The 24,252-nt window shown below is 52.5% G+C and overlaps 1 protein-coding gene across 13 annotated transcripts in view, besides 12 other annotated features; it reads right to left on the reverse strand.

Moving 5' to 3' along the window:
* The window catches only part of IQSEC1 (IQ motif and Sec7 domain ArfGEF 1), a 386,215-nt gene that overhangs the window by 126,808 nt on the left and 235,155 nt on the right, over positions 1 to 24,252 (reverse strand). For 7 of the 13 annotated variants that reach the window (XM_047449347.1, XM_047449339.1, XM_047449346.1 and 4 more), the window contains one exon: positions 23,628 to 23,672. The exons of 5 other annotated variants lie outside the window; for them this stretch is intronic. In XM_047449347.1, coding sequence (XP_047305303.1) covers positions 23,628 to 23,672 — 45 coding nt within the window. Of the gene's footprint in view, positions 1 to 18,436; positions 18,571 to 23,627; positions 23,673 to 24,252 lie in introns of those variants that run through there. One more of the 13 variants, XM_047449352.1, reaches the window with a different exon arrangement.
* Positions 1,219 to 1,348: a silencer, noted in NCBI's record as "silent region_14080". NCBI's record gives its function as "represses an Ori minimal core promoter by ATAC-STARR-seq in GM12878 lymphoblastoid cells {active_cell/tissue: GM12878}" and the evidence as "EXISTENCE:reporter gene assay evidence [ECO:0000049][PMID:35858748]".
* Positions 2,963 to 3,464: an enhancer, noted in NCBI's record as "H3K4me1 hESC enhancer chr3:13068313-13068814 (GRCh37/hg19 assembly coordinates)". NCBI's record gives its function as "activates a minimal SCP1, AML or CMV promoter by ChIP-STARR-seq in primed H9 embryonic stem cells {active_cell/tissue: H9 hESC(primed)}" and the evidence as "EXISTENCE:reporter gene assay evidence [ECO:0000049][PMID:30033119]".
* Positions 3,465 to 3,964: an enhancer, noted in NCBI's record as "H3K4me1 hESC enhancer chr3:13068815-13069314 (GRCh37/hg19 assembly coordinates)". NCBI's record gives its function as "activates a minimal SCP1, AML or CMV promoter by ChIP-STARR-seq in primed H9 embryonic stem cells {active_cell/tissue: H9 hESC(primed)}" and the evidence as "EXISTENCE:reporter gene assay evidence [ECO:0000049][PMID:30033119]".
* Positions 7,008 to 8,008: an enhancer, noted in NCBI's record as "H3K4me1 hESC enhancer chr3:13072358-13073358 (GRCh37/hg19 assembly coordinates)". NCBI's record gives its function as "activates a minimal SCP1, AML or CMV promoter by ChIP-STARR-seq in naive H9 embryonic stem cells {active_cell/tissue: H9 hESC(naive)}" and the evidence as "EXISTENCE:reporter gene assay evidence [ECO:0000049][PMID:30033119]".
* Positions 8,009 to 9,007: an enhancer, noted in NCBI's record as "H3K4me1 hESC enhancer chr3:13073359-13074357 (GRCh37/hg19 assembly coordinates)". NCBI's record gives its function as "activates a minimal SCP1, AML or CMV promoter by ChIP-STARR-seq in naive H9 embryonic stem cells {active_cell/tissue: H9 hESC(naive)}" and the evidence as "EXISTENCE:reporter gene assay evidence [ECO:0000049][PMID:30033119]".
* Positions 11,099 to 11,599: an enhancer, noted in NCBI's record as "H3K4me1 hESC enhancer chr3:13076449-13076949 (GRCh37/hg19 assembly coordinates)". NCBI's record gives its function as "activates a minimal SCP1, AML or CMV promoter by ChIP-STARR-seq in primed H9 embryonic stem cells {active_cell/tissue: H9 hESC(primed)}" and the evidence as "EXISTENCE:reporter gene assay evidence [ECO:0000049][PMID:30033119]".
* Positions 16,883 to 16,972: an enhancer, noted in NCBI's record as "active region_19475". NCBI's record gives its function as "activates an Ori minimal core promoter by ATAC-STARR-seq in GM12878 lymphoblastoid cells {active_cell/tissue: GM12878}" and the evidence as "EXISTENCE:reporter gene assay evidence [ECO:0000049][PMID:35858748]".
* Positions 16,993 to 17,052: an enhancer, noted in NCBI's record as "active region_19476". NCBI's record gives its function as "activates an Ori minimal core promoter by ATAC-STARR-seq in GM12878 lymphoblastoid cells {active_cell/tissue: GM12878}" and the evidence as "EXISTENCE:reporter gene assay evidence [ECO:0000049][PMID:35858748]".
* Positions 17,893 to 18,488: an enhancer, noted in NCBI's record as "H3K4me1 hESC enhancer chr3:13083243-13083838 (GRCh37/hg19 assembly coordinates)". NCBI's record gives its function as "activates a minimal SCP1, AML or CMV promoter by ChIP-STARR-seq in naive H9 embryonic stem cells {active_cell/tissue: H9 hESC(naive)}" and the evidence as "EXISTENCE:reporter gene assay evidence [ECO:0000049][PMID:30033119]".
* Positions 21,833 to 21,912: an enhancer, noted in NCBI's record as "active region_19477". NCBI's record gives its function as "activates an Ori minimal core promoter by ATAC-STARR-seq in GM12878 lymphoblastoid cells {active_cell/tissue: GM12878}" and the evidence as "EXISTENCE:reporter gene assay evidence [ECO:0000049][PMID:35858748]".
* Positions 22,353 to 22,772: an enhancer, noted in NCBI's record as "active region_19478". NCBI's record gives its function as "activates an Ori minimal core promoter by ATAC-STARR-seq in GM12878 lymphoblastoid cells {active_cell/tissue: GM12878}" and the evidence as "EXISTENCE:reporter gene assay evidence [ECO:0000049][PMID:35858748]".
* Positions 23,128 to 23,646: an enhancer, noted in NCBI's record as "H3K27ac-H3K4me1 hESC enhancer chr3:13088478-13088996 (GRCh37/hg19 assembly coordinates)". NCBI's record gives its function as "activates a minimal SCP1, AML or CMV promoter by ChIP-STARR-seq in naive H9 embryonic stem cells {active_cell/tissue: H9 hESC(naive)}" and the evidence as "EXISTENCE:reporter gene assay evidence [ECO:0000049][PMID:30033119]".

The following is a 24,252-nucleotide window of genomic DNA, read 5'->3' on the forward strand; positions in this document are numbered from 1 at the left end:
GACCTCCACCTGCCACAGGGGCTCCTCCACAGCATGCAGCGGGAGTGGCTGCCCAGCCTCTTCTTGAACACCCCCAATGATGTGAAGCTCACTACCTTTCAAGGCTCCCCATTCCTTGTTTTTTCTTTAAGCTTCCCCATTCCATCATGGAACCCCACTGACCTAAGGAAACTCTCCCTTGGACATTACTTCCCTGTCACTTTTCATACTGGCCTCGGTTCCTTGTGCCACACAGACTAAGGCCTCCATTCAAATGTTTATCTGGCCTGTCCTCCTAGTAGGGGAAGTTTTCACAATGTCTTTTGTGGGTGGAAGTAGCCTCTGCTTACCCGCTTTATCTCTACCCACTGATTCATATATTCACACATCCACACACCTTCCTCTCCAATGAATCATCCATGGATTCATTAATCCATTCACATATCCATCTATCATCTTCCTTCCTATCATCCATTCATTTATCCCCTCATCCACCCATCCATCCATCTGTTCCCTCACCCGCACATACACCCATCCATCACTCCATCCATCCATCCATCCATCCATCCATCCATCCATCCATCCATCCACCCATTTATCCACCCACCCATCCACTCATCCACCCATCTGTCCATCCATCCACCCATCCATCCATCTGTCCATCCATTCACCCATCCACATATCATACGTTGTCTGCATATCATTGTAAATTTGAATTCATTGCAAATGAGCCTTAATTCATCCATCCATCCACCCATCCACCCACCCATCCATCCATCCACCCATCTGTCCATCATCCATCCACCCATCCGTCCATCATCCATCCACCCATCCGTCCATCCATCCACCCATCTATCCATCCATCTACCCCATCTGTCCATCCACCCACCCATCCACCCATCTGTCCATCCATTTGTCCATCCACCCATCCATCCACTCATCGGGGACATGTCACACTCTATCTGTCTTTGCCATCCTCGGGGGCTCATCCTTGAGAACAGGGCACTCCTTACTCATCTTTGACTCCTTTGTCCCTACACAAGCTACTTCCTCTTGCAGAGCCTCAGTTTGTCCCTTTGCAAAACAGGAATAAAAAATCTCTGCCCTCCAGGCTGTGATGAGGAATGAGTGATACCACAACTGTGTGACCCTGGGTATAAGACTTAACCTCTCAACATCACTGTCTGCAGGACAGCATGGCCAGTTCTTGAAGTGAGAGTTCATAATGGTTTCTGAAACAGAGAGTGCACTCAGTAAATACCAGCTGTCACCTAAAAAGCCCCTGGCACTGCCGGGCACGTGTTAGGTGCTCAGTGCTAGTTGCCCTGTAGGACACAAGGAGCCCCAGAAAGAGTGGGGGAAGCGAGGGCAGGTCTGCGTGGAAGCCTTCACCCCCTCAGCCATTCCATCTCCCCAGCCACAAGGCCAAAGCCGGGCTCTGCAGAGAACTGGCTCGCCCTCCAACCTCAGTCCAGTGACTCACACAGCCCGCTGGGGATGAAGTCACTGCCGCCCAGGCAAAGGGAAGGACACATTTGTTCCCTGGGAGATGCTGATGCCATTGTGAACTTGGCCTTTGAGGGCAGGGCACAGCTCAGGGACTGTGTGCACTTGAGGAAGGCAGCAGGCACAGTGGAGGGACAGTGTTGAAGGGGACCCTGCTTGGGGAAATGAGGACTGGAAGGGGTGCCCCCTACTCTGGAAGCTTAGTGAGGGTCAGTGAGCCTCTGTCTGGCCTCTAGGCCTTGCTGAATGTGTGCCCTCTCCTCGCCTGTTGAGATGTGTCTGCCTGTGGTCTTAGGGCCTTGAGACCCTCTAATTTCTGCCTCTGGCTTAAGGGGCAAGCCACTGTTCCACATCTCTCATCCACAAAATGGGCACACTATACTCGACTCCCGCCTGGGGAACTGCAGGTGACAGTATGAGACCTCTCCTTACTCACTGGGGGTCCGTGCAGCCTCTCCTATTCCACCCACTCTCCCATGCTGACCGTCACCCACAGGAGACCAGGGTGGGGTGGGCAAGGCCCTTTGCCATCTTCTCTCTGCATTGAGCTTCCTGACACCCCCAAGTGGCCCCCACTCCATCACAACACCCCTGAGCCCTCCCAGATCTCCAGGCCTGTCCACCCTGGGCCAGGAATTCTGCACATATTGCCCAGTTATTCTCCACATGCCCCAGTCTGCTCTGGGCCCGGGACTGCAGCTCCCAGGCTCCCACTGCCTCCTGGTTCCTGACGGGGTGGCCAGCAGCGGCCCTGGCAGGAGGTCAGGAGGTGGAGGAGAGAATGATAGGTCAGGGTACTCGTTGCCTCAGCTCTGTCCTCGCTTCCTGTGCCCCTCGGCAGCCACAGTCCTGATGGGTGGCTGTTTGCACCCAGGTCTCTCTCTTTCTGGTTCATGAAACTGTTCTCTCCCCCAACCCTCTGGCCCAGGGCTGGTTAGGGTTCCCCCCTTCTGCCAGCCCAGGTGTCCAGTTCCCTTAACCCCATCCCACCCTGCACACAGCCCCATCACGGGCCACACTGCAAGGGAGCTTGTGTAGTGACCCATGTTTCCTACCAGGACCCAATGCTCAAGGCTCAAACTCAGACGACACCTCCTCTAGGAAGCCAATTTTCCATTGGCTTGTTCCTTCACCCAGTCAACATTCATTAATTGGCTTACTCTGTGCCAGATATCACTTGAGGATTTGGTGAACAAAACTGTGGAGCCTGGTGGGGCTGGCCTTCCTTCTGTACCAAGGGAGCAAATGAAAACGATTTCCCACAGTGGGCTGTGCCATGAAGAAGGCGTATAAACTAGATCATTTCTCTGGATGATACACTTCCCTTCTCCAGGAGTCCATCCTTTTTTGCCCTGCATCCTCTCCGTTCCCTGAGCCTGGACTGCAGCCATTTCTTCCCTGCACTTGGATGACCTGTCTCTGCATCCCTCCCTCACTGCTCTGAGAGCTCACATGAGCAGGTGAGGAGATCTATGTAGCTTAGTTCTTTGCACAATCACCCTATGAAGTAGCAGTTATTATCTCCCCAGTTTTTTTTTTTTTTGTTTGTTTTTTTTTTTACCAATTAATAAACTGAGGTTCAGATGCTGAGGTTAGTTACTCAGGATGATATATAAACCCAGCTCTGCCTATCTGACTCTAAAGCTAAAGCTCTGGAGGCTGAAAACAAAATAAATCACTTGTCATTTATATCTGCAGTCTTCCAATGGTGCCCAGAGCCATGCAAGGCGCAGGAAGGCACATACACCGAGTTGGCCGAACTTCAAAACCCTGGATCCCCCTTCTCAAGAAGCATTGGCCTTTTGAGGATGGGTGCTGGAATGCCCGTTTTCCAAATGGAAAAATGAAAGTCCAGGGTGCTGAGAGCGTTGGGTCTTGGAGGACAGTAGTGGGCTCCCAGCCTCCCAGGCAGCTGGCATCCTGAGTTCCACCATCTTGTCTCGGGCCTAGGATGGCCACTAATATCCAGTGCGCAGGCAGGGGCTGGGCACTCACTTCAGGGCAGGAGCTGGGAAAGAAGGCAGAGAAGAGCTTCCGCAAGTCCATCTTATGGAGCACAAAGGGCCAGCGTCCAAGTTGCCAGACTTGGCCTGCAGGGCCTCACTTTACTTGCTGTGCAGAAAAGAGACCGCAAGGGGGCAATGGCCAGGCAGGGGCCAGGGAGGAACTGTTGCTTGGACTGGGGTGGTGGACAGGAAGGTGAGGACAAGAGGTTGGATTCTAGAGACATTCTCAAAGTGGAACTGGTAGAAATGTCTGATCAATAAGATGAGGAGGTGAGAGAGAAAAGAGGAGTGGAAGATGATGCCTGGGTTGCTGGCCTGAACAACTGGAAAAATGGAGGTTCCATCCACGGTGACAGGGACACAGGGATGGCCAGTGGGAGCAGGTTTGGAGGGATGATGAGGCAAGGCAGAACGGGGGGACTCCGACTGGTCAAACAGAACAACTGTGGCTTGGCTCTGGCTGATGGCTGCTCTGTAGGAATAAGGGCTCTGATTTTTCAGATATCAGAAATCCAGGTTTTTACGTAACAGCTCTTGATTTTTATATGTTTGCAATAAATTCAAATTTACAATGATATGTAGGTTAATCCTATGCAAGCCAAATAAAATACATCTGTGAGTGTCTAGCCCACAGGATACCTCTTGTATCCTCCGCTCCTTCTTGTCTTTCAAGGTCCACTTAGCTGCCTCCTCCCCCAGGAAGCTGCCCATGATTGCTTCAGCTCCAGAGACGCCTGTGGCCCCTCAAAGCCCCGCAGGGCTGATAATCCCAGACTGGAAGTGACAGGAGGACAAATAGGGGGTTTGCTTATCCATTTCTCACGCCTCAAGCATAGGGTTTGGCCCAGAGGGGGAGTTAATGAATGAATACCTGCCGAATGAATGAATGAACAAGTAGCTCACTTGATCCCTCTGCCCTTATTTTGCAAATAAAACTGAGTCCCAGATAAGGGACATGACCTGCCAGGGTGGGATCTGGGGCCAGGGACTGCTCACCGTCTGGCCTCTGTTTGTCAGCTGTCCCCCGAGGCTGGGCCAGGCTAGGCCGGCAGGAAGTATAAAGACAATTGCACAGTCTTATCGAGTTATGCCATGGGAGGGTAGAAACAGGATCCTGAGCAGCTCTTGAGCATCTGGGTAGAGGCTGTTTGGGGGATGTTTTTCCAAGAACTTGCTAAGGTGACCCCAACCGGGGTCAGGGCAGAGCCAGACCCTAGAACTGGGTGCCTCTGCAGGTGGCATGGTCATGGGACAGATGACACCCCAGATGGAAGGACTCACATTAGCAATCAGTCAAAGTGACAGCCAGTCCCCATGGGTTGTCCCTTCTGAGGGTTCTGACACGTTTCCTTTCAGCCATGGGGAGGGCAGATGGTACTGGGTTTGACCATCAGGGTTTGTGCTCAGATCTTCTATGCAAGGAAATCAGACAACATAGGCACCGGAGGCTCTGGCCTCATTCTTCAGTGTTGGAGATGGAGAATGGAGTCTCAGAGGTGGAGGCGACTTGCCCTGAGGTCACACAGTAAGGAAGCCGCAGATCTGGGACTCCGGATCAGAAGTCCTGATTCTGAGACCTGCGCTGGCCAAGGGATCCTCACAAGCCGTTCCTCACACCTTCTGGCCTACCTCAGTTTCTTCATCCACAACATGGGGAGAAAAATAGGATCTATCTCCAGGGGTTGTGAAGATGAAACAAATGGAAGGAGCTAACGCTGTGTGACTGTACTGTGTAAAGCTATATAGAAGATCACGAATATATAGCAACTGCCCTTCTAAGCCTCTAGCCTTGAAAGTTTCTGGCTATGGCCGTCTTTAAAACTTCCAGGGTGACACAGCTCTCCATCAACACAACAAGAACGGTGATACCTAAGGGCTACTGAATGGTTCCTGTAGCCACTGCTCTATGTGTGACTAATTCATTTAATGCTTAGGCTCATCCCATGAGGTAGGTGCTATTACTATCTGATCTATAGGATAAAGAAAGGAAGGCAGAGAGAGGTCCACAGACACGCCCAGGGTTAATACAGATAGAACATGGCAGGGTGGGGAATTGAACTGAAGCAGCTTTGTTCTGAGACATGCTTCATAACCGCTACATAACACGGCTCTCCTCGGCTGGCTTGGAAGTCTTTCTCAATGTCTAACCTAAATCCTTTTTGTTGCAGGCTGTGCCTATTCACTACCCCCTTCCTTAGACAAAGAAGAAAGCTGCTCCCTTCAATCTCCATTTTGTTGTGCTGAGAGGCCTCAATTCTTTAGCCCCTGTATCCTGACTCCCTGGGTCTTGCCGTCCAGGTCAAGGGGGGCCAAACAGGAACCCTCCCCTTGTGCGTGAGCGTGAGTGTGTGTGCGCACATGCGGTGTGAGATGTGTGTGTGCGTGCATGCGTGCACGTGTCCACACAAATCCCCTTCAAAGAGGACTGGTGAGGACTGGTAAGGACTGCAGCACCCTGGGCTGGGTCCTCACCTCCTCACTGGCCTCCCTGCCTCCTTTCCTTGTCATCTGCTGCCTCTGGGCTGTTTCCCAATACCCAGACCTGTAGAGGTAAGTCTGCTGCCTGAACCTGCTCCATGGCTTTCCTCCATTCCCAGACCATTCCCAGCTCCACCCTCGTCCCACCTTTATTTATTTATTTATTTTGAGATGAGGTCTCGCTACATTAACCAGACTGGTCTTGAACTCCTGGCCTCAAGTAATCTTCCCATCTCAGCTTCCGGAAGTGTTAGGATTACAGGCGTGAGCCATCATGCTCTGTCTAAAATCTTTTTTTTATACAGTCTAACTCTGTCACCCAAGTTGGAGTGCAGTGGTGCAATCTCTGCTCACTGCAACCTCCACCTGCCAGGTTCAAGCGATTCTCATGCCTCAGCCTCCTGAGTAGCTGGGATTACGGGCATGCACCACCACACGTAGCTATTTTTGTATTTTTAATAGAGATGGAGTTTTGCCATATCCGCCAGGCTGGTCTCGAACTCCTCCTGGTCTCAAGTGATCCTCCTGCCTTGGCCTCCCAAAGTACCTGGATTATAGGCATGAGCCACCACGCTCAGCTTCGCCCCACCTTTATGGTGCACTCTCTTTATGGGCCATTCTAGTTATTTATTAAATATTTTCTTTTAAAATCAACTGGCTTAAAAAATTGGACCTGAGTCTAATCAAGCTTCCTGATCTAACTCCCAGTTAACAGGAACTACAGGTGACAGAGGAATAGCTTAAATGACATCATGAGGCAATCAGCCTAATCCTGAATGTGGGACATGCCACAGGCAAATGGCCCTGTTCCTTCAATGAGTACTGCAAGGATGAAAAAGGAAGGGGAGCCTCTAGGTAAAAGGATGCTTACGAGACACGTGCACTGTGTGGGTCTTGTTAGGGCCCTGATTTGAACAAACCAGCTGTAAAAAGACATTTTTGGAGACCCTTTGGGAGAGCTGAACATGAAAAACAGCATGGAGTGGGTGGAAGAAACTCAAGCATGAGGCGCAAAGCTGTGCCACGCAGGCGTGGGATTCGCCTTACAACTCCGAGGTTCACCTTCACCAAGCAGCTATCTCCACTTCCACGCATGTTTCACACTTTCAACAATAAGAAGCTAAAAGCAATGCACAAAATAATACGTTGGTTGGATTTCAGCCCTGAATACATTTATTTTAAAAGGAAACTTTATATCACTCCTTTAAATGGAAAACTAGGATCATCTGCTGTAAGTAGAAGGTTACCATGAAAACAAGACAATGTTACCGAGTTTCACACAGATACTGTTTCCTGCCAAAGATGCTGGGCTTAAAAACTGCCCCGTTTTTGTTACAAAGAAGCCCAGGGACAGAAGTGAACTCACTCTTACCTGGACCCACCTTTCTGGGAGCACTGGCCTACAGGTAAGGGCCACACAGCACATTCTCTCTGCCACATACTTCTCCTCTATCAGGGAATGGTGGTGACAAGCCTGGGGGCAGGGACAGGTCCACCCCAGCTGGTAGACAAGGGCCCCTGCCTGCCCCTGCCTACAGCAGGGAGGGGCTCAGCTGGGGGACTCGGCCTCTGCAGAACCTTGGGGCTTTCTGCAACATGGAATCCAAAAGCTATAGGGCTGGGTACAGATGAGGAAACCGAGGTCCACAGTGGGGCAAGACAGTGTCCCAGGTCTCCCGGCAAGCCCATGGGGGATAATCAGAAAGGACAAGACTCCAGGTTTTCTGACCTTTAGAACGGTGATCATCTAACCTTTCCCTCGTTCACAGATATTGCTTGAGAACCTACTGTGTGCCAGGCACAGGGGGCAGAGGGGCAGGAGTGACCAAGACAGAGTCTCATGGAGCCGACATTTGCAGACAGGGGATGCAGGACAAAAACGCTAAGCAAATTAATGAGATAATTTCCCAGGACGGTGAGGGCGACAAAGAAAACAAAACTGAGTGACTGTGAAAGGTGAGGAGAGGGCGGTGCTACACTAGACAAGGTGACAGGGAGGGCCTCTTTAAGGAGGAGACAATGGGGCTGACACCTGAAGGACTAAGAAGGCGGTGGAGGAGGTCTAGGGTAGAGAACTTCATGAGCCCCTGCAGCCAGCCCTCAGCAACCTCTGGCTCTGTTTTTAAAACTTTAGATACTGAGTTAATTGCGGACCCACAGAAAAGTTGTGGGAAGAGCACAAAGAACCCCTGTATAGCCTTCACCCAGGCTCCCCACTTGTTACCATTGTATCCCATTTGCTTCCTCATATTCTCCTTTCTCTACGCACACACACCTGTGCTCGCATACACACTTTCCCCCTGTAATTGTTTGAGAGTAAGGTGCCCACCTCAAGCCCCCTACTCCTTCAAAGTGTCTTTCCTAAAGACAAGAACGTTTTCTGGCATAATCACGGTTCCACTTTCAAAATGAGGGCACTGACACTGACTCGGTACTACTCTCCAATCCTCACAGCTCATCCAGAGCTGCCAACTGACCTCATGCGGTCCTCTATGGAGACACAACCCCTGATTCCTGAGCCTTTCACACACACCCCGGCTGGCCCTGTGAAAGTGGACAGCGCAGGGCGGCACGGGGAAGGCTGTGCTGCCGTGACTTCCGCAGGCCGAACCTGCAGGATGCGGATGGGCCAGCCCAGGGCCAGCAACTGCACTGCACGGAGCCAGGTTGGATCCTGACACGGAAGGACAAGTGTGCACCCCTAAAACACCAAAATAGCCCCCCATATTTTGAACCAAGTAGAAAAAACTAATAAAGCTTTAAACATTTTTTTTTTTTTTTTGAGATGGAGTCTCGCTCTGTCGCCCAGGCTGGAGTGCAGTGGCGCAATCTTGGCTCACTGCAAGCTCCACCTCGCAGGTTCACGCCATTCTCCTGCCTCAGCCTCCCGAGTAGCTGGGACTACAGGCGCCCGCCACCACACCCAGCTAATTTTTTTGTATTTTTAATAGAGACGGGGTTTCACCGTGTTAGCCAGGATGGTCTCAATCTCCTGACCTCGTGATCCGCCTGCCTCGGCCTCCCAAAGTGCTGGGATTACAGGCCTTAAAAATATTTTTTAAAACATTATATATAAAGCCCCACATTGGTCGATCTGTTCACATGTCCCCGTCAACCCTCATAAAGCAGCTCTGCAGGGCACACGAGGGCCTCGGGGCCTGGAAACTGCAGTGCCTTTGGAAATGACCTCTCGCTTTACAATACTCACGTGGTGTTGCAAGACAAACAACAGCCTGTGTTTATTTTAAAATTCAATATTTTGTTTACTTGATTATTGAGTTTTTGGCACCCCTTAAATTCTGTGCTCGAGGTGAACACCTCACTTGTCTCACCCTAATCCCAGCCCTGACCACCAAACACCAGGCACATAAGCTCTTCTGAGGGCACAGAATACACGCCCAGACAGCGTCTCCTGACGAGCCCGAGGACAGGTCCTCGTACCCACTTCACAGATCAAGACAGAGAGGCCCTGTATTGATTTGCAGAGGCTTCCGTAACAAAACACCACAGACCAAGAGGCTTAAACAACAGAAATGAGTTTCCTCACAGTTCTGGAGGCTGGAAGTCAGAGCGAGGCGCATTTCTCCTGAGGCCTCTCTTCTTGGCTTGTATGTGGCTGTGTTCTCCCTGTGTCTTCACACGGCATATTAGTCAGGGGTCTCCAGAGAAACAGAGCCAATAGGAGATGCATATATATGTATATGTATATATATACATATATTTTTTAAAATAAGGAATTGGCTCGTATGATTACAAAGACTGACACGTCTCAAGATCTATAGTCAGCAAGAGACCCAGGAGAGCTGATGACTTAGTTTCAGTCTAAATGCCAGCAGGCTTGAGACCCAAGAAGAGTCCGTGTTTCAATCTGAGTCTGAAGGCAGGAAAATACCAACGTCCCAGCCTGTGGGCACCAGGCAGGAGACCCTCTTACTGATTACTGAGCTTCTGTTCAATTCAGGCCTTTAACTGATTGGAAGAGGACCACCCAGCCTGGGGAGGGCAGTCGGCTTCACTCAGCCCAGTGCAATTGTTCATTTCATCCAGAAACACCCCACAGACACACCCAGAGTAATGTGTGACCAGACATCCGGTCACCTTATGGCCTAGGCAAGGTGACACATGAGATGAACACGGTGTTCCCGCTGTTGGTGGCCCAATTTCCTTTTCTTATAAGGGTGCCAGTCAGACTGCATTAGGGCCCACCCTAATCCCCACATTTCACCTTCATTCCTCTTTAAAGACCTTATTTCCAAATACAGTCCCATTTGGAGGTACTGGGGTTACGACGTCAGCATGTGAATTCAGGGAGACACTTTTCAGCCTGTGACAGGCCCTGCCAGGCGAAGGGCTCAGCTTGCAACCACTCAGGCCCAGGCGTCTCCCCCCAGAGTCAACTGGGCAAGTGGAGCTCCTCAGGTTGCCATGATCTTCCCCCTCCGGAAGGAAGGACCTGTCCAAGCCGGTGGCTGCCAAGAAACCGCTGAGGTGCAAACAGTCACTTGGGATGGACTTATCTCACGTGCTAAATCCAGCAGTTACCAAGAGCAAGAAGTGTTTGTGGTGAGAAGCTCGTAAGGTCTTGACCCAGCGAGAACGTTTCCCCGAATCAAATCTCCATGAACCTAACACCCGTTTCCCGCCTCTTGCCACCAGTGGGATCTTGCTAACACAGAAGGCAGCCGGGGAGGAGGAGAGGGCGTAGTGAAAGACTGAGCCAGTGTGGAGCCTGTTGGCACCTGCAACGCTTACTTTAAATGCTCTCTGGACGGGCTCAGTGAGGATCTGCTGACTGAGGCCAGGCAGCCCGTGACTCGCACTAGGAGATCAGCTGCTCTCTCTAAACCAGCCGGATTCAGCTCTGGATGCTTGATTCTCATTCCTTCACTGCAACTATTCTGCTGAGGACAAGTTTCTCAAGGCCCTGCCAGTTTGGTCAACCTGACCCTCTGGGGTATTTCTCACCTGCACCGGCTCCTGAATCTCACCAGCCCAACAGAAGTGTCTGAGCTAATGCTCGCCATCGCAGGGAATACAGGCCCACATGCAGCTCCTGTCCAGCACACAGGCTCCCCTAACAGTATTCCCATGCTCCCAGGGATCGGCCTCGCCCCGACAGGGCACAGTGCTGGTGGGGTGGGAATTCAGAAGCCTGTGCCCCATGGAAGCCCAGTGGTCCCTGGAGGCTCTGTCCTGCTTTCTCCTCCTCCACTGACATCCCAGCACTGCCAAGGGGCAGGACAGGACCTGAACTTGGCCAGTGAAACTCTCCTGAGACTTGACAGCTTGAGTGGTGGCACAGGGCCATGGGCTCCCAGGGAGCCTTTTTCACAGCTGTGAGCCTGCCCTTGGGGGTACAGAGTAGGCGCCCCGGCTCCTAATCCACATCCAGCTTCCTGCTGGTCCCCTGACCTCCTAAGAGTGGCTCAGTAAACTCCCTTTTTGCTGTAGTTGGCCTGTGGCGATTTCTGTTGCCCTCCACCAAAGACTCCATCAGACACTAGGCACCATCTGCACATCCTTCTCAGGACTCTTCTGCCAAGGACACTGTCTTCCCTACGTGGACTTGAGAAGTCCTCCTCAGCCCTCAAGACCCATCTCAGCTCTAAAACTCTAAGAATCCTCTCCTGCTCCCCCAGCTGAAATGATTGCCCCCTCTCTTGAATAATCACCACACTTCATTTCAACTTACTCCATTAAGAAAAAGAAAACCTGCCACTGATTGAATGCCACTGGGTCCCAAGTGTCCCTACACCTGTTAGGTCCTCTTCCCAACCCCAGGATGCTGAGGGTTAGAGCGGAGAAGTGATTTGCTATTGTGGTAGATTCTATTTCCAAACAGGGCCACAACCTCATCTCCTGTCCCAAACGCTCTGCCAGAACCCTGCCACTCCTGAGCAGGGGTAGAGTTTAAGTCCTTCACCATGGGCTTGGGCAGCACTTTTGTGACTGTCCTGGTGAAGATCATGCCATAGAAGCGATGCTGTGTGTCTTCTGAGGCCTGGTCATAAAAGGTGGCCATTTCTACTTGGCTCTCTTTCCCTTGGATTGCTTGCCCTTGGGACCCAGCCGCCATGTTTTGAGGACGCCCAGGCCACATGGAGAGTCCCGTGCAGGTGTTTTGGCTGCCAGCCCTGGCTAAGGTCTCAGCTGTCAGCCAGTAGCATTTGCAAGGTGAGGAAGGGAGTGAGTGGCTGGGTGGGTGCGTGGGCAGGTGAGGCTTCCTAGGAATCCAGCTCCTAGTCTTCAAAGCCCAGCTGACATTGAGTAGAGCAGGCTCTGCCCAAGTTGCAGTTCTATGGGATTTTAAACCACTAAGTTTTGGGGTGATGTGTTACACCGTCATAACAACCGCGACAGTTACATGCAGTCAGAAAGTATTCATTAGTGTGGAGGAGACACGAGATAGTGTAGCTCAGTGGAGGTGGTCACCTGGATTGATAAACTGCACTCCATTTCTGTGACTTTAGGCTGGTCATTTAACCTCTCTGCCTTCAGTTTTTCCTTGTCTGAAACATGGAAAAAATAATAGTATCCCTTTCACAAGGCTGTTGTGAGGATTAACAGAGATACCACATGCAAAGCCACTTAGCACATATAAACACTCAAAGAAAGTAATAATAATAAACAAAAATAATTTTTTTTAAAAAGAAAATTATGAAAGGAGCCAGTCAGATTGCATTCCCACTTCGCCTGACTTCAGAACTGCACTGTCCCCTCAAGCCACAAAGCCACCCAGGGTGCCCCCTGTAGAGCCACTCCTCCCTGGACTGAACTTCCCTGGCCAACAGATGAGGCCCAGGGCATCAGCGGTGTGGGGGGTGCCCGACAGCCCTGGATGAGCCCAGGAAGCTCGGCCAGCTTCTCAGGCTGTGTGCTTGGAATCCCGTCCACTGAGCTCCCTTACTGAGCTGGCAGTTTGGGGAGCTTGTCCCAAAGTGAGTTCCTTGATGCTGTGTTTTAGAGATCCCTGGCGGCCTCTGTTCTTTCTAACAGAAGCAATCTGTGAAACCTGCGCATCAGGAGATCAGTTGGCACCTTGTGTGATCAGAACTAGTCCCACATCCTGAACCAGACAACGGCATCCACGGCATGCTGAAGGTGAGGTTGCAAAGTCAGCGTGTGGGCAGAGTTCCTACCACCCTTGGAAGCCTCTTACTGTGGAGGGCCTGGAACTACACAGACCAAGGGAACAGCACATGTGTGCCTCACCCTCCACCCCAGGATGCCTGGGGCTGCGTCAAGCTACAGTTGTGCCCCCACACCATTTACATGCTCTCCTCTCTGAATCTCTCTTTCTCTCCTCTTTACATTAAAAAAACCACCTGGCTTTCAATATTGAGTGTAGAAAGAATGTGGGGACATGGGACTCTCACCCACTGCTGGTAAGGCTACATACTGCCAGGGCCACTTTGGAAAGCAAGTTCACTAAGCCCAGGAAAGTTGAAGACACTCATGTGCCATCCTGGTACAAACCCTCCATAAATGCCCGCAGCCAAGCACAAGGAGGCAGGGGCAAGGGTGCTTACTGCATCCCTGTCTGTAATGTCGAAAAATGGGACATCACCAAAATACACAAGAACAGGAGAGCAGATACTTAGACCGGGGCATGGCTATACCATGAAATACTATACACCAGTGAAAATGAATCGATGAGATCTATACATTGCAATATGGATGAATCTTACCAATAAAATGTTGACTGAAAAAACAAGGTGCACCTTGAAGAGATATCTGCACACCCATGTTCATAGCAGCACTACACACAATAGTGAACAGGTGGGAACAACACAAGCGTCCATTCGTGGATGAAAGGATAAGCAAAACGTGGTCCATACTTATAGTGGAGTATGATTCAGCCTTAAAAGGAAGGACATTCTGACTCATGCTACAACATGGATGAACCTTGAGGCCACTCTGCTAAGTGAAATAATAAAATAACAAAAAAACAAATACTGTATTGATTCCATTCATATGAGGTCCCCAGAGCAGTGAAATTCATGGAGAAAGAAAGTAGAATGGTGGCTGCTGGGGGTGAAGGGAGGGGGGAGTTAGTGTTTAACGGGTACAGAGTTTGGGAGGATAAAAAAGTTCTGGAGATGGACGGTGGGAATGATTGCACAATAACGTGAATGTACTTAATGCCACTGAATTGTACAATGGTTAAGATGGTGGATTTTAATTCTATGTGTATTTTACCACAAGTAAAACTTTTAAAAAAGCAACTTGCAATTTATAATACTATGATCTAAAGTTTAAAAACATGTAAAACCATCTTTTGTTTTAGCAACGCTGTAAAAATATGCATGGCAACAGATGAATGGATAAAGAAAACTTGGTATATATATGAATATATATATAAGTATATATAAGTATGTATAAAAATATATAGAAATATATAAGGATATATAAATATACAAGTATATATATGTGTGTGTGTGTGTATATATATATATATATATATATATATATATATATAAAATGAAGTACTATTCAGCCATAAATGATATCCAGCCATTTGCAACCACATGGATGGAACTGGAGGTCATGATGTTAAGTGAAATAAGCCAGGTACAGAAAAACAAAATATCACATGTTCTCACTTATTTGTGGGATCTAAAAATCAAAACAATTAAACTTATGGACATAGAGACTAGGACAGTTATCAGAATTGGGAAGGGTAGTCGGGGGACAGAGGGGGAGGTAGGTATGGTTAATGAATACAAAAAATAGAAGGAATGAGTAAGTGAATAAGACTTACTATTTGATAGCACAATAGGGTGACTATAGCCAATAATAACTGATTTGTACGTCTTAAAAATAATTGAAAGAGTATAATTGGATTATTTGTAACTCGAAGGATAAATGCTTGAGGGGATGGATACCCTCAATGTCGGGGGAAAGAATGTAGGGACACAGGACTCTCACCCACTGCTGGTAAGGCTACATACTGCCAGGGCCACTTTGGAAAGCAAGCTCACTAAGCCATGAATTCTCCATGAAGTGTGTATTTCACATTGCGTGCCTGTGTCAAAACATCTCACGTACCCCATAAATATATACACTTACTATGTACCTACAGCAATTTAAAAAAATGTGCATGGGAAATCTACACACCAAACAAGAGGGACTGTTTAGGCTTAGCTCTGGGGAAGCAGGAAAGGGATAAGATTTGTGGGGTGGCCCACAGGGGCAGTCCACCACACCATTAACAGCTTATTTTGGAAGCTGGGCGATGGGTATACTACTCTCCTCCATATTTTCTTCCCACCTGAACTATTTCATTAACCAAAGTACCCTGAGGTCGGCTGGGCTCTGGGAACTTGGGAGAGGGCTTGCCGCCTCCCACAATGGCCTTTGGGCCAGAGCTAAAGAGTCTATAGAGGCATCTCCCCACAACCAAGGCAGAACGCAGAGGCGCCCCGTGAAGATTTCTTTCCGTTTGCTAGTTGAAATAAGCGGCTCTGCTCCTTCCCCTGCCCGAGCCTCTGGCAGAGCTCCAGGATTATTTTACATTAACTTAAGATCACTAATGAAGAATAATTAACAGCTTTGAGGGAGCCTGGCACACCCTGTGTTTAGAAGTGGTTAATTATGCATTGTCTGCAAAACACCCCTTTCATACTCTTAAGTTTGGGATCGCCGTTTTAAACAACGGAATATGGCATCAGGCAAAAAGCCAAGTGGCTCCATTTGCAGAGCTTTCCTGGGGAAGGATCCGTTTGGGTGAGGACAGCCGCTTGCAAAGCCTCTACTAAGTGCTGTATATTCAGTGCTTTTCCAGCATTTACCCTTGAAATCCCCACACAAGGGCCATGAGAGGTGAGCTGAGCATCCCCCTTTCCCCATGTTACACAGCTGTGGAGGAAAAGTGACTTTTCTAAGCTCCCTGCCACAGCGAGGTCTGACCACAAAGTCTGAGTTCTTGCCCACCTGGCTGATGCATTATCATTATTTCTGGTCGACAACTGCTGGAAAGATGACTGCCCCCAGCCCTCAGCATGTCATTTGCCAGGGTGGACAGACCGAGCTGCTCAGCTGGCAGCATGCAGCCTCCACAGCTGGATCCCCTGGTTAAATCCCAGTGGCACCACCGACTGGCCATGAGCCCTTGGACAAGCTACTTCTCCCCGTGCTTTGGTTTCTTCACCTGGAAAATGGAAGAATCATGACTCCACTTCGTGGCATTAGCGCGCAGAGTTGGTGCTCAGAATGAAGCCTCACATGTAGCAGACACTCACTGAGCTTCCCTGCCCCACCTTCCTTTCTAGCTCTTCCCCTGACACACACCTAGGCTTCAGCCTCACCTCTGATCATTTATGCACCATGTGAGGCTTGGTCCCACACCATACGTTTGTTCGTGCTTTGTTTTCCACCCACAGTGCCCTTCCCTGTCTGGAAAATTCCAACTCCCATGTCTAGGCCCGGATCAGATGCCACCTCCTGCAGGAAGCCTTCCAATAAGACCTCCCTCAGGCTGCTGGTAATTTGTGCACCCTCTGTTTATACCCCATTCTTAACATTCATGAGTTGTTAATAGGTCTTTTCCCTTTGTAGGTTGGGAGTTCCTCAAGGATTAGTCTCATTTGTCTTTCAGGCACAGTCAGGGCTTAAGAACAAGAGCACAGGCTCTGAGTAAGAACCTCCATAGGTCAGGGGAGGGGACAAAGAGCGCTCTCACGGGTTCCTCCTAGAGCCTGAGCCACGCCTCTCACACTTGGACCACGTGGCCCCCAGAGTGTGACTCTCAGTTTGCCACTTGCCCACTAAGATCCTTCATGGGCTCCCCACTGAATGCAGGACAAGGCCCAGGCTCCGGTCCTGAGCCCCAGCCCCTGGTACCCCTTCCCAGCTCCATGGCCTTTTGCCATGACCCAAAGACACCCTTCCCTTTTAAAGCCTCTGGGTTTTTCCCATGTGGTTTCCCCTCTGTCTGGAACACCTGTGCTCCCCATCTCAACCCAGCAAACTCCTCCAGACACTTTACCACCTGGCTCAGCTGTCACCTCCTCCATGAAGCCCCCGCACCCAGCCCTGCTCCTCTTTCAAGACTCTGACCGCGACTCATGCCTGGCTAGCTGAGCCCTGTGGAGCAGGGTCTGTCCCTCATTTGTCCCTGCCTGGCCCAGGACTCCGGCGTCTGCATGGACTGAGACTGTAGACATTCAAGAGAGATTGCATCTCGAGACAGGAAAGACAGGGGTCAGATCTCGTGGCCACTCTTCTGCAGTTGCCTGCCCTCTGGTTTTATTCTGCTCACCTGCGCACAGGGGCTTTAATGCTTCTTTTGCAGGAGGGATGAGGATGAACAATTAAGTATATAAAGTGCCCCACCGCGGTAGACACCGAATCACTGACAGCCGGACATGCCCTCCTGAGGCCGCATGAACAAGCCTGGGGGCGGGGGGTGGGGTGAAAGGCTGCACCACAGCGCTCAGGGCCCACTGGGTGTCGGGCTCCTCTCTGATGTGGCTTGCACTAATCAGACGCAGGACAGGCCTCTCTCGCTGGCACCCTCCCAAGAGCAGGGACTTCCTTTCTACAGCTGCCGTGAGACCCTCCGTGCCCGCCCCCTTTGGAGAAAGCCCACTGGAAGGAAGAAGAAAAGCTCCCACACTTTCCCAGAATTGCTCGTATGCTAATGGCCGCAGACTTCACAGAGTGTGAAATCAGGAAAAACTAATTCCCTCAGAATAGACGGGACAATTCCCTCCTCCAGGTCTTTAATAACACGCCGTTCAAGGTGACCATGGCGACGGCTCCATGATGATCTCCTGCTGGCCCGGATGTGGTTCTTTCTTGACCAAGGTGTGCACTGGACAGAACACACACGCTCGGAAGAACCTGCCGGAGGTATGAACATTCGGGCTTGTGGTGCCTGCAGCCCCTGTCACCTCAGGGAGCAGTCCCCAAATCCATGTCATCAAATCCGAATCCCTACAGTTGGGAAACAGGCTTAAAGAGGGAAAGTGACTCGCCCAAGATCGCGCAGCCAGGAAAGGGACTGAACTTCGGGCTCCTGATCTCCTGACCAGGGGACCCCCAACTCTGCCTCCCCAAACTTGTGCTTAGGGAGGAGGCAGGCCAACCCTTGAGTCATCCAGCCCACGAGGTCGGAGCAAGTGTACCGGGAAAGAGCAGGCCGGGGACCCCGGGCCGGTGCAGCTTCCCTGCCTAGGGCTCACCCCGGCAGCAAGGAACAATGAAACACAGTGCCTGGCCACAGAGCAGTCCAGGGTGACTCTTTCTCTGCAGAAACTCTACCAGTTTCAGGCCAGAGGGAGAGGAAAGAATAGTTAAGCCCAGTTGCAAAGTGAACCACGACAAACGCTGCTGCTGGTCTTGGCCAGTGACGGGGACCCTCCGCCAAGAGGAGGAAGCCCTGCAATCGGGCAGGATCAGGGCGAACTTTCTCTCCAGGTCCCATTGCCCTAGTGGCCAAGGCTCTCCCCAGAGGGTCGACTTACCTTTTGTAGGCTCCATGCAGGGGCTGTAGGCACAGGAACTGCCAGTAATCCAGGCAAAAGGCCTTGAACTTGAGCATTTTCACCTTTTGGTCTCCAGCTGGACCACGGTAACGTCTCCGCGGAGACACGGAGAGGGGCTAGTGGGAGGTGGAGAACCGGCTGCTTCGGCCCGCCCTGGTCCCTGCCACGGCGGCCCCCACTCACATGGCCCAGCCCGCCCGGCGCAGCTTGTACAGTACACGCCTCCAATACAAAGAGCAGCCAGCACAAAAGCCTAGCAACTCATTCACGCAGCTCGCCTGGCCCGGCTCATGCTGCTGCTGTCTCTGTTAGCTGGTGCCTCCGAGGGCTTCCCTGGGGGTCCCTGGGACACACCAAGGCAGCTCTGGCTGTATCAAGTTGTGGGGGCCCCCAGTCCATCATCCTGGGGGGTCTGGATGCTAGGGCTCCTGACGGTGGCTCTGCAAGTCTGTTCTTCCAACCAGGCCCTGGGGCTCCGGGTGGTGGGGCCGGCACTGGCTGGACAGTCCTACACCCGCCTGGCTGGCCCAGAGTGGCTGAGGCCAGGAAGACCCAGGGAGAGCAGGTAGGGAGGGGGCCAGATGACAGGCAAACACTGGCCTCTTTTGCCAGATAAATTACGTTTGGCGGAATCCCTGTTCGGCCTGTGCGAGGGAAAACTCACCATGTAGCCACATGGTGCTTGGGGTGGGGGCAGCTGGGCTCTGAAAGGCAGGCGAAGGAAGACTGACAGGGTCGCCCAGCGCCTGCCGTTGCCTGGGCGACGGGGACACATTGATAAAATCTAAAATGGAACCGCTATGACAGCCGCTCATTGGCTGCCGGCAGGGGAATCCTGTCGCTAACCAGGGAGGGGAGCGGCTGAGCTGCAGGGCCACAGACAACCAGGCGCATTGTTGGGCAGAGGGACCCCAGGCAGAATGGGTGGCCCCACAGGCCAGGGGACCTGGCAGTCACAGACAATAGGAAAGGAGTCCCTGGCCCACCCTCACCTCTCCCCTTGTATCTCCTGGGATCTGGCTGGTCCCGGCGTCTGCTCCAACCCTCCCATGGCCCATTTCCCACACACTAGCCACCTGAAAGTCTGAGGCTCTGGGTCCCAGATACAGTAGCCACCCTCACCCCCATGAATCCGGCACACCCTTTGGTTCCATGCAGTCTGCTCTCGGGTGCACTTCCTGCAGCTCCGCTCCTCCTCGTCAGTCAGGTCCCACTCCAGCACCCCTCGTGTCTAAGCTATAGCAGCTCAGCCCCCTTCAGCCACTACCCTGTCTGATTCTTTCCATGGGACATCCCATCCTCTGAAAGGATCCTGCTTTTGCATGTTTACTTGTTAACTGTCTTTCTCCTGACTACAAGCAACGACTCCAGGGCAGGGGCCACATCTCTTTTAAGGGCCGGCCCACTGGAGGAGCCTCGATAATCATTTGTGGAAGGAAGGAAGGATCTTGTATAGTGTGTGAAAGGCTCTCAGAGGCACCACACTCACCCCCTCTGGCCGCTTTGGGGCCCAGGTTTGCACAACCCGACATCGTTTGCAAAGCAGTGGTCACACTCCATTCAGACGAGGAGGTCTTGCTACCTCCCCACTCCCCCTCAGATGAGGAAACAGAGGCACAGAGAAGACCCCATCCCCAGAGGTGTGCACACAGAGTCCAGGAGCTGCTGCTCAGGGGGGTGACATCCAGGCGGTCGGATGGGAGCTGGTGCCACAAAAAAGACAAGGCTCTGTGTGCCTCTAGCAAGGCTGCTCAGCTTCCAAGGGCCAGGCTGGGAACCAGAGGCCTGATCTCACCCCATGCAAAGCCAAAGAACAAAGTCTCCCACCTCAGGTGGCATTTTCTCAGTGTCATTAGCAAAAATGCTGCTTCTAGAGCAATGGTTCTCAACCAGAGGCGTCTGGGTCATCCCCCCACCCCCAGGGACATCTGGTAATATCTGGAGAAATTTTGGTTGTCACAAATGGGGAGAGAGTGCCAGCATCCAGTGGCATTTAGATGTCACTAAACACCTTACCATGCACAGGACAGCCCCCACACCAGAGAATGGTCCTGCCCAAAATGTCAGTAGTGCCAAGGTTGGGAGACCCTGTCTGTAGTCACTTTCCCTTGGAGGTACCCGTCCTGGATGGCTGGAAAGGGAAAGCTTTCCAAATGGCTGGGTCCAAGCCTCTTATAATACAGTCGGGGAGTGCGAGGCCAGAGGTAAAGGGGGACACCCAGTGTCATCGGAATGGACCCAGGCTGGACGCAAGACACCCCAACTTGGGCTGATAACTGGGGGCAGGCAGGGGAGAGGCGATCTGCCGAGTGTGATGAGCCTGTTTGGCAAGGTAGCACAGGCGGGGCCAGCAGCCCTGAAGTGCTGCCCACTCCTCCCCCGCCCCCCCACACTCCTGGAGAAGGACATTAGCTTCCCTCTCACGCCTGTGGCAGAGGAAGCCGGCTGTGCCTTTGAAAGGCAGCAATTACTGGCTGGGACCTTTGTTTCTGAATTCCTAGGCTGTGCACAGGCCTCCAGAACCTCCGAAGGCTGGGATTCTCAGAAGCTTGCCCCCAGCAGCAGAGCTGGTGCCTCCACTGCACAAAAAGGGCACAGAGTTCTGGTAGCAGCGGGGGCCCTGGGCCCTAGTCCTGGACCTGGCACCAATGCTCTTCTGGTCTCAGGTACCCTCATCTGTGAAAGGGGAACATTGATCCTGGCCCTGTCTGTGTCTGAGGCTGCTGTGAGGGTTGGGAGTCAGGACGCATGCCAAGGCAAGATGGCAGGATGGGGCAGGCCCCACTTAGCATCTGCCTCCTGGCCACTCCTCCAGGCATGCTCCACCCCAGGGCCTCTGCACCGCTGTTCCCACCAGACTGTTGGGATGCTCCTCACCCCTCCTGTGCTTCCAGGCCCAGAGGCCTTCCCTGGCCACCCTCCCATCTCTGTCTATTCCCTTCACCTGGATTTATTTTCTCCATAGCTCTTGTCACCACTTGACACGTTATGTTAAAAACCAGTTTCTTTTTCTGCTTGCTGCCTGTGCTCCTGCCTGCCACAGATGCTCTGTGAAGGCAGCAGGACTGCTCAACGAGGGATCCTGAGTGCCCGACACCCGCAGGTGCTCAGGAAATGTGGCTGAATGCAGGCGGGGAAACAGCAGAGCTGAGGGGCTCCTACGGCCTCCGCTCTGATCCCTGCTCTGTCCTCCAGGGAGTGAGGCACTGGGGCATTGGCTCTGAGGTCAAGTGTGGCTCCATCCGATGGAGGGCTGTGCAGTGAGACCCAAGTGGGCAGGAGCACGGAACCTGCTAGGCCCCCACACATCCTAGAACAAAGAGCCCCATCCACACTCCCTGCATACCAGAACTTTCCTGGGCTGGCCTCGAGCAGGGCACCTGACTGACTGGCCGGCGGAGTGGACAATTCAGATGGAGCTGCAGTGGCGCCCGTGGCATGGGTGGGTGGTGCAGAGGCCAGGCTCAGCCCCTACAGGAGCCTCCTCAGCCTCCTTCCCTGGGGCCACCCTGACACAGGAACCCACACGCCTGCTGGCACCCTGAGCCATCCCATCAGGGGTGAGAGTGTGTGTACCAGTGTGAGCCCGCAAGCACATATGTGTCAAAATGGGGGCTGTGTGTTCACCCATGTGCAAAAGTGACAATGCTAGCATTTGACTACAGGAAGAACTGGGTGTGGGAATGTTCTGGAGTCTGTGTGTATACGTGTGTGCGTGTGAGATTATGCAATGGGCATATGAGGAACTACTAGTATGAGGGCAGGGAGTGTGCTACGGTGTTGGGCAGTATTCACACCAGGATACCCAAATGTTCAAATCCCGGCTCTGCCCCCGCAGTCTCGAATCCTGAGCAGGTGACGTCTGTGGAGTGGGCTAACAATAGCCCTGACTCGCTGGGCCATAAGGGCTGTCAGCTTTCACAAAGCAAAGGAAGTACTGTTATGATGATATGTGGGTGTGACTGTGGAGTGTCCGTGCAGAGGATCAGGTGACTGCGTGAGCGTGTCGCTCATGTGTGTACACGTGTGTACCACTTGGCTGTGTCCTCCAGGAGCGCACGCGGCGGGGCTGCCAGTCCCTAGCTGGCTCAGGGAAGCAGGGCCCAGATGGCCACCCCCTCGCTCCCTGCAGCCCAGAGTTTCAGAGTCGGTCGCTCTGACATCTCCTTCCTGTATAGCATCTGCTGCAACCCTGACACGTGGGGCCCAGCCCTTGGTTGCTGTCTCCAGGGACAGGGCCTACGACCTTGTGAGTCTCTTTTTGGGCTTGTTCAAAAACCCCCTCTCCCAGAAGCCAAGCTCTTTAGCAGGACGAAGCTCCCTCCCAAACCTCCCCCAACTCCCCTCCTCCCTCTCCATGGCCCGGCCACATCCACCCTCCACAGGTCCTTACACAGGGTGCTCCCTTCCGGGACCACTTGTCTCCCACCCTCCAAACAGGGAACCAGTCAACCTCTAGTCACCTCTACAACGCAGCACAGATGTCCCCTCCTCCCCAATTCACATCGATGCACCGAACACAGCCCTCTAAGCCACCTCCACTGCCAGGACAGTCTGCCTGTCACTTGTCTTTCTTGCCCACGAGACTGGAACAAGGATCTGCTGGCTTCCAATCAAGGGAGCTTTCCTCTAAGCGCAGTCTCCAGTATTTTTTTGTGTGTGTGAAAACAGAAAATGCTCTTTTTGGAAGACATCAAGATACAAAGCACACGGAAGCAGAGACCCTCAGACACCCCAGCTCCCACCAAGCGCAGCTGCACACCAATAGAAACCAACAGGCTTCTCCCCTGGGCTGCAGCCTTGGTCGTCATGGGAACTGCCGGCTGCAGGCTGGTCCTTGGGAGACCCACCAGCCTTGGATCTCGGAAGAACTATCAGCTGCAGCCTGATCCTCCGAGGGGCCTTCAGCTGAGCTCTGGTCTTTGGGGGCAGAACTTCGACTGCAGTCCTGGTCTTTGGGGGGACCTTGATTTGAGGGGAAACCACTCCAAGCTGTAGAAGCTCTCAGGGGACATATCAGTAGTACCTCTGGCCCTTGGGGGAATTTCAGGGCCAAATGGTGGAGCTAATTTCCCCCAAAGGGCTCTTGGAGGCCTGCCTCTGGGTGCAGATGGGCAGTGAGGACCTAAGGAGATCCTGGGGCAGGCTGGGGTGGACGGCAAGACAGTACCTGTAGCGGTCAGTGGAGAGGCTGCTTCCGGTGTCCAGGGAGCTCCTGAGGTGGCAAAAGCGAGACAGGGTTACTTATGGTCCCACACACACAGCAAACCCCTTGGGGGCCATGTCCACTCAGGCCCCAGCAGGTGGTCCCAGGACAGGTCCTGGGGCAACTGAGCAGCCCTGGGAAGAGCGTCTGCCCCACATGCAAGAAACCATGTGCTTTCTTTCCCCCTGCTGGCTCAACTGAGAAGCTGCCTTGTCTCTACCCCATGGCAATGTCAAGTCCCACTGCCCCCTGTTCAGATGGGGAAACTGAGGCTCAAGGAGAGGAAGCGCAGTGGGCAGGGTTAAAGGTCCTCTCTGGCTGGACCCAGACTTAACCTCGGGTATGTTTGACCTGAGCCACCATGCTCCTTCCCCAAAGAGCCCTGCACCAGGAATCTCAGCAGACCCATGGGTTTGGGCCCACCCAGCCTCCATGCCGGCAGCCCAGGGGCCCTGGAGCCCTGATTTCCTGCCCAGAGACTCGGCGTCCAGCTCTGGATCTGGGCCCAGGAGCCTGGGTCCTGCCTCCTGCCTTTGACCAAGTTCGGTCTGTGCTATGGGGTGTGGGCCTGGAGCCAGCCCAACTAGGA

Source organism: Homo sapiens, chromosome 3 (genome assembly GCF_000001405.40).
Source record: "Homo sapiens chromosome 3, GRCh38.p14 Primary Assembly".
NCBI lineage: Eukaryota > Metazoa > Chordata > Mammalia > Primates > Hominidae > Homo > Homo sapiens.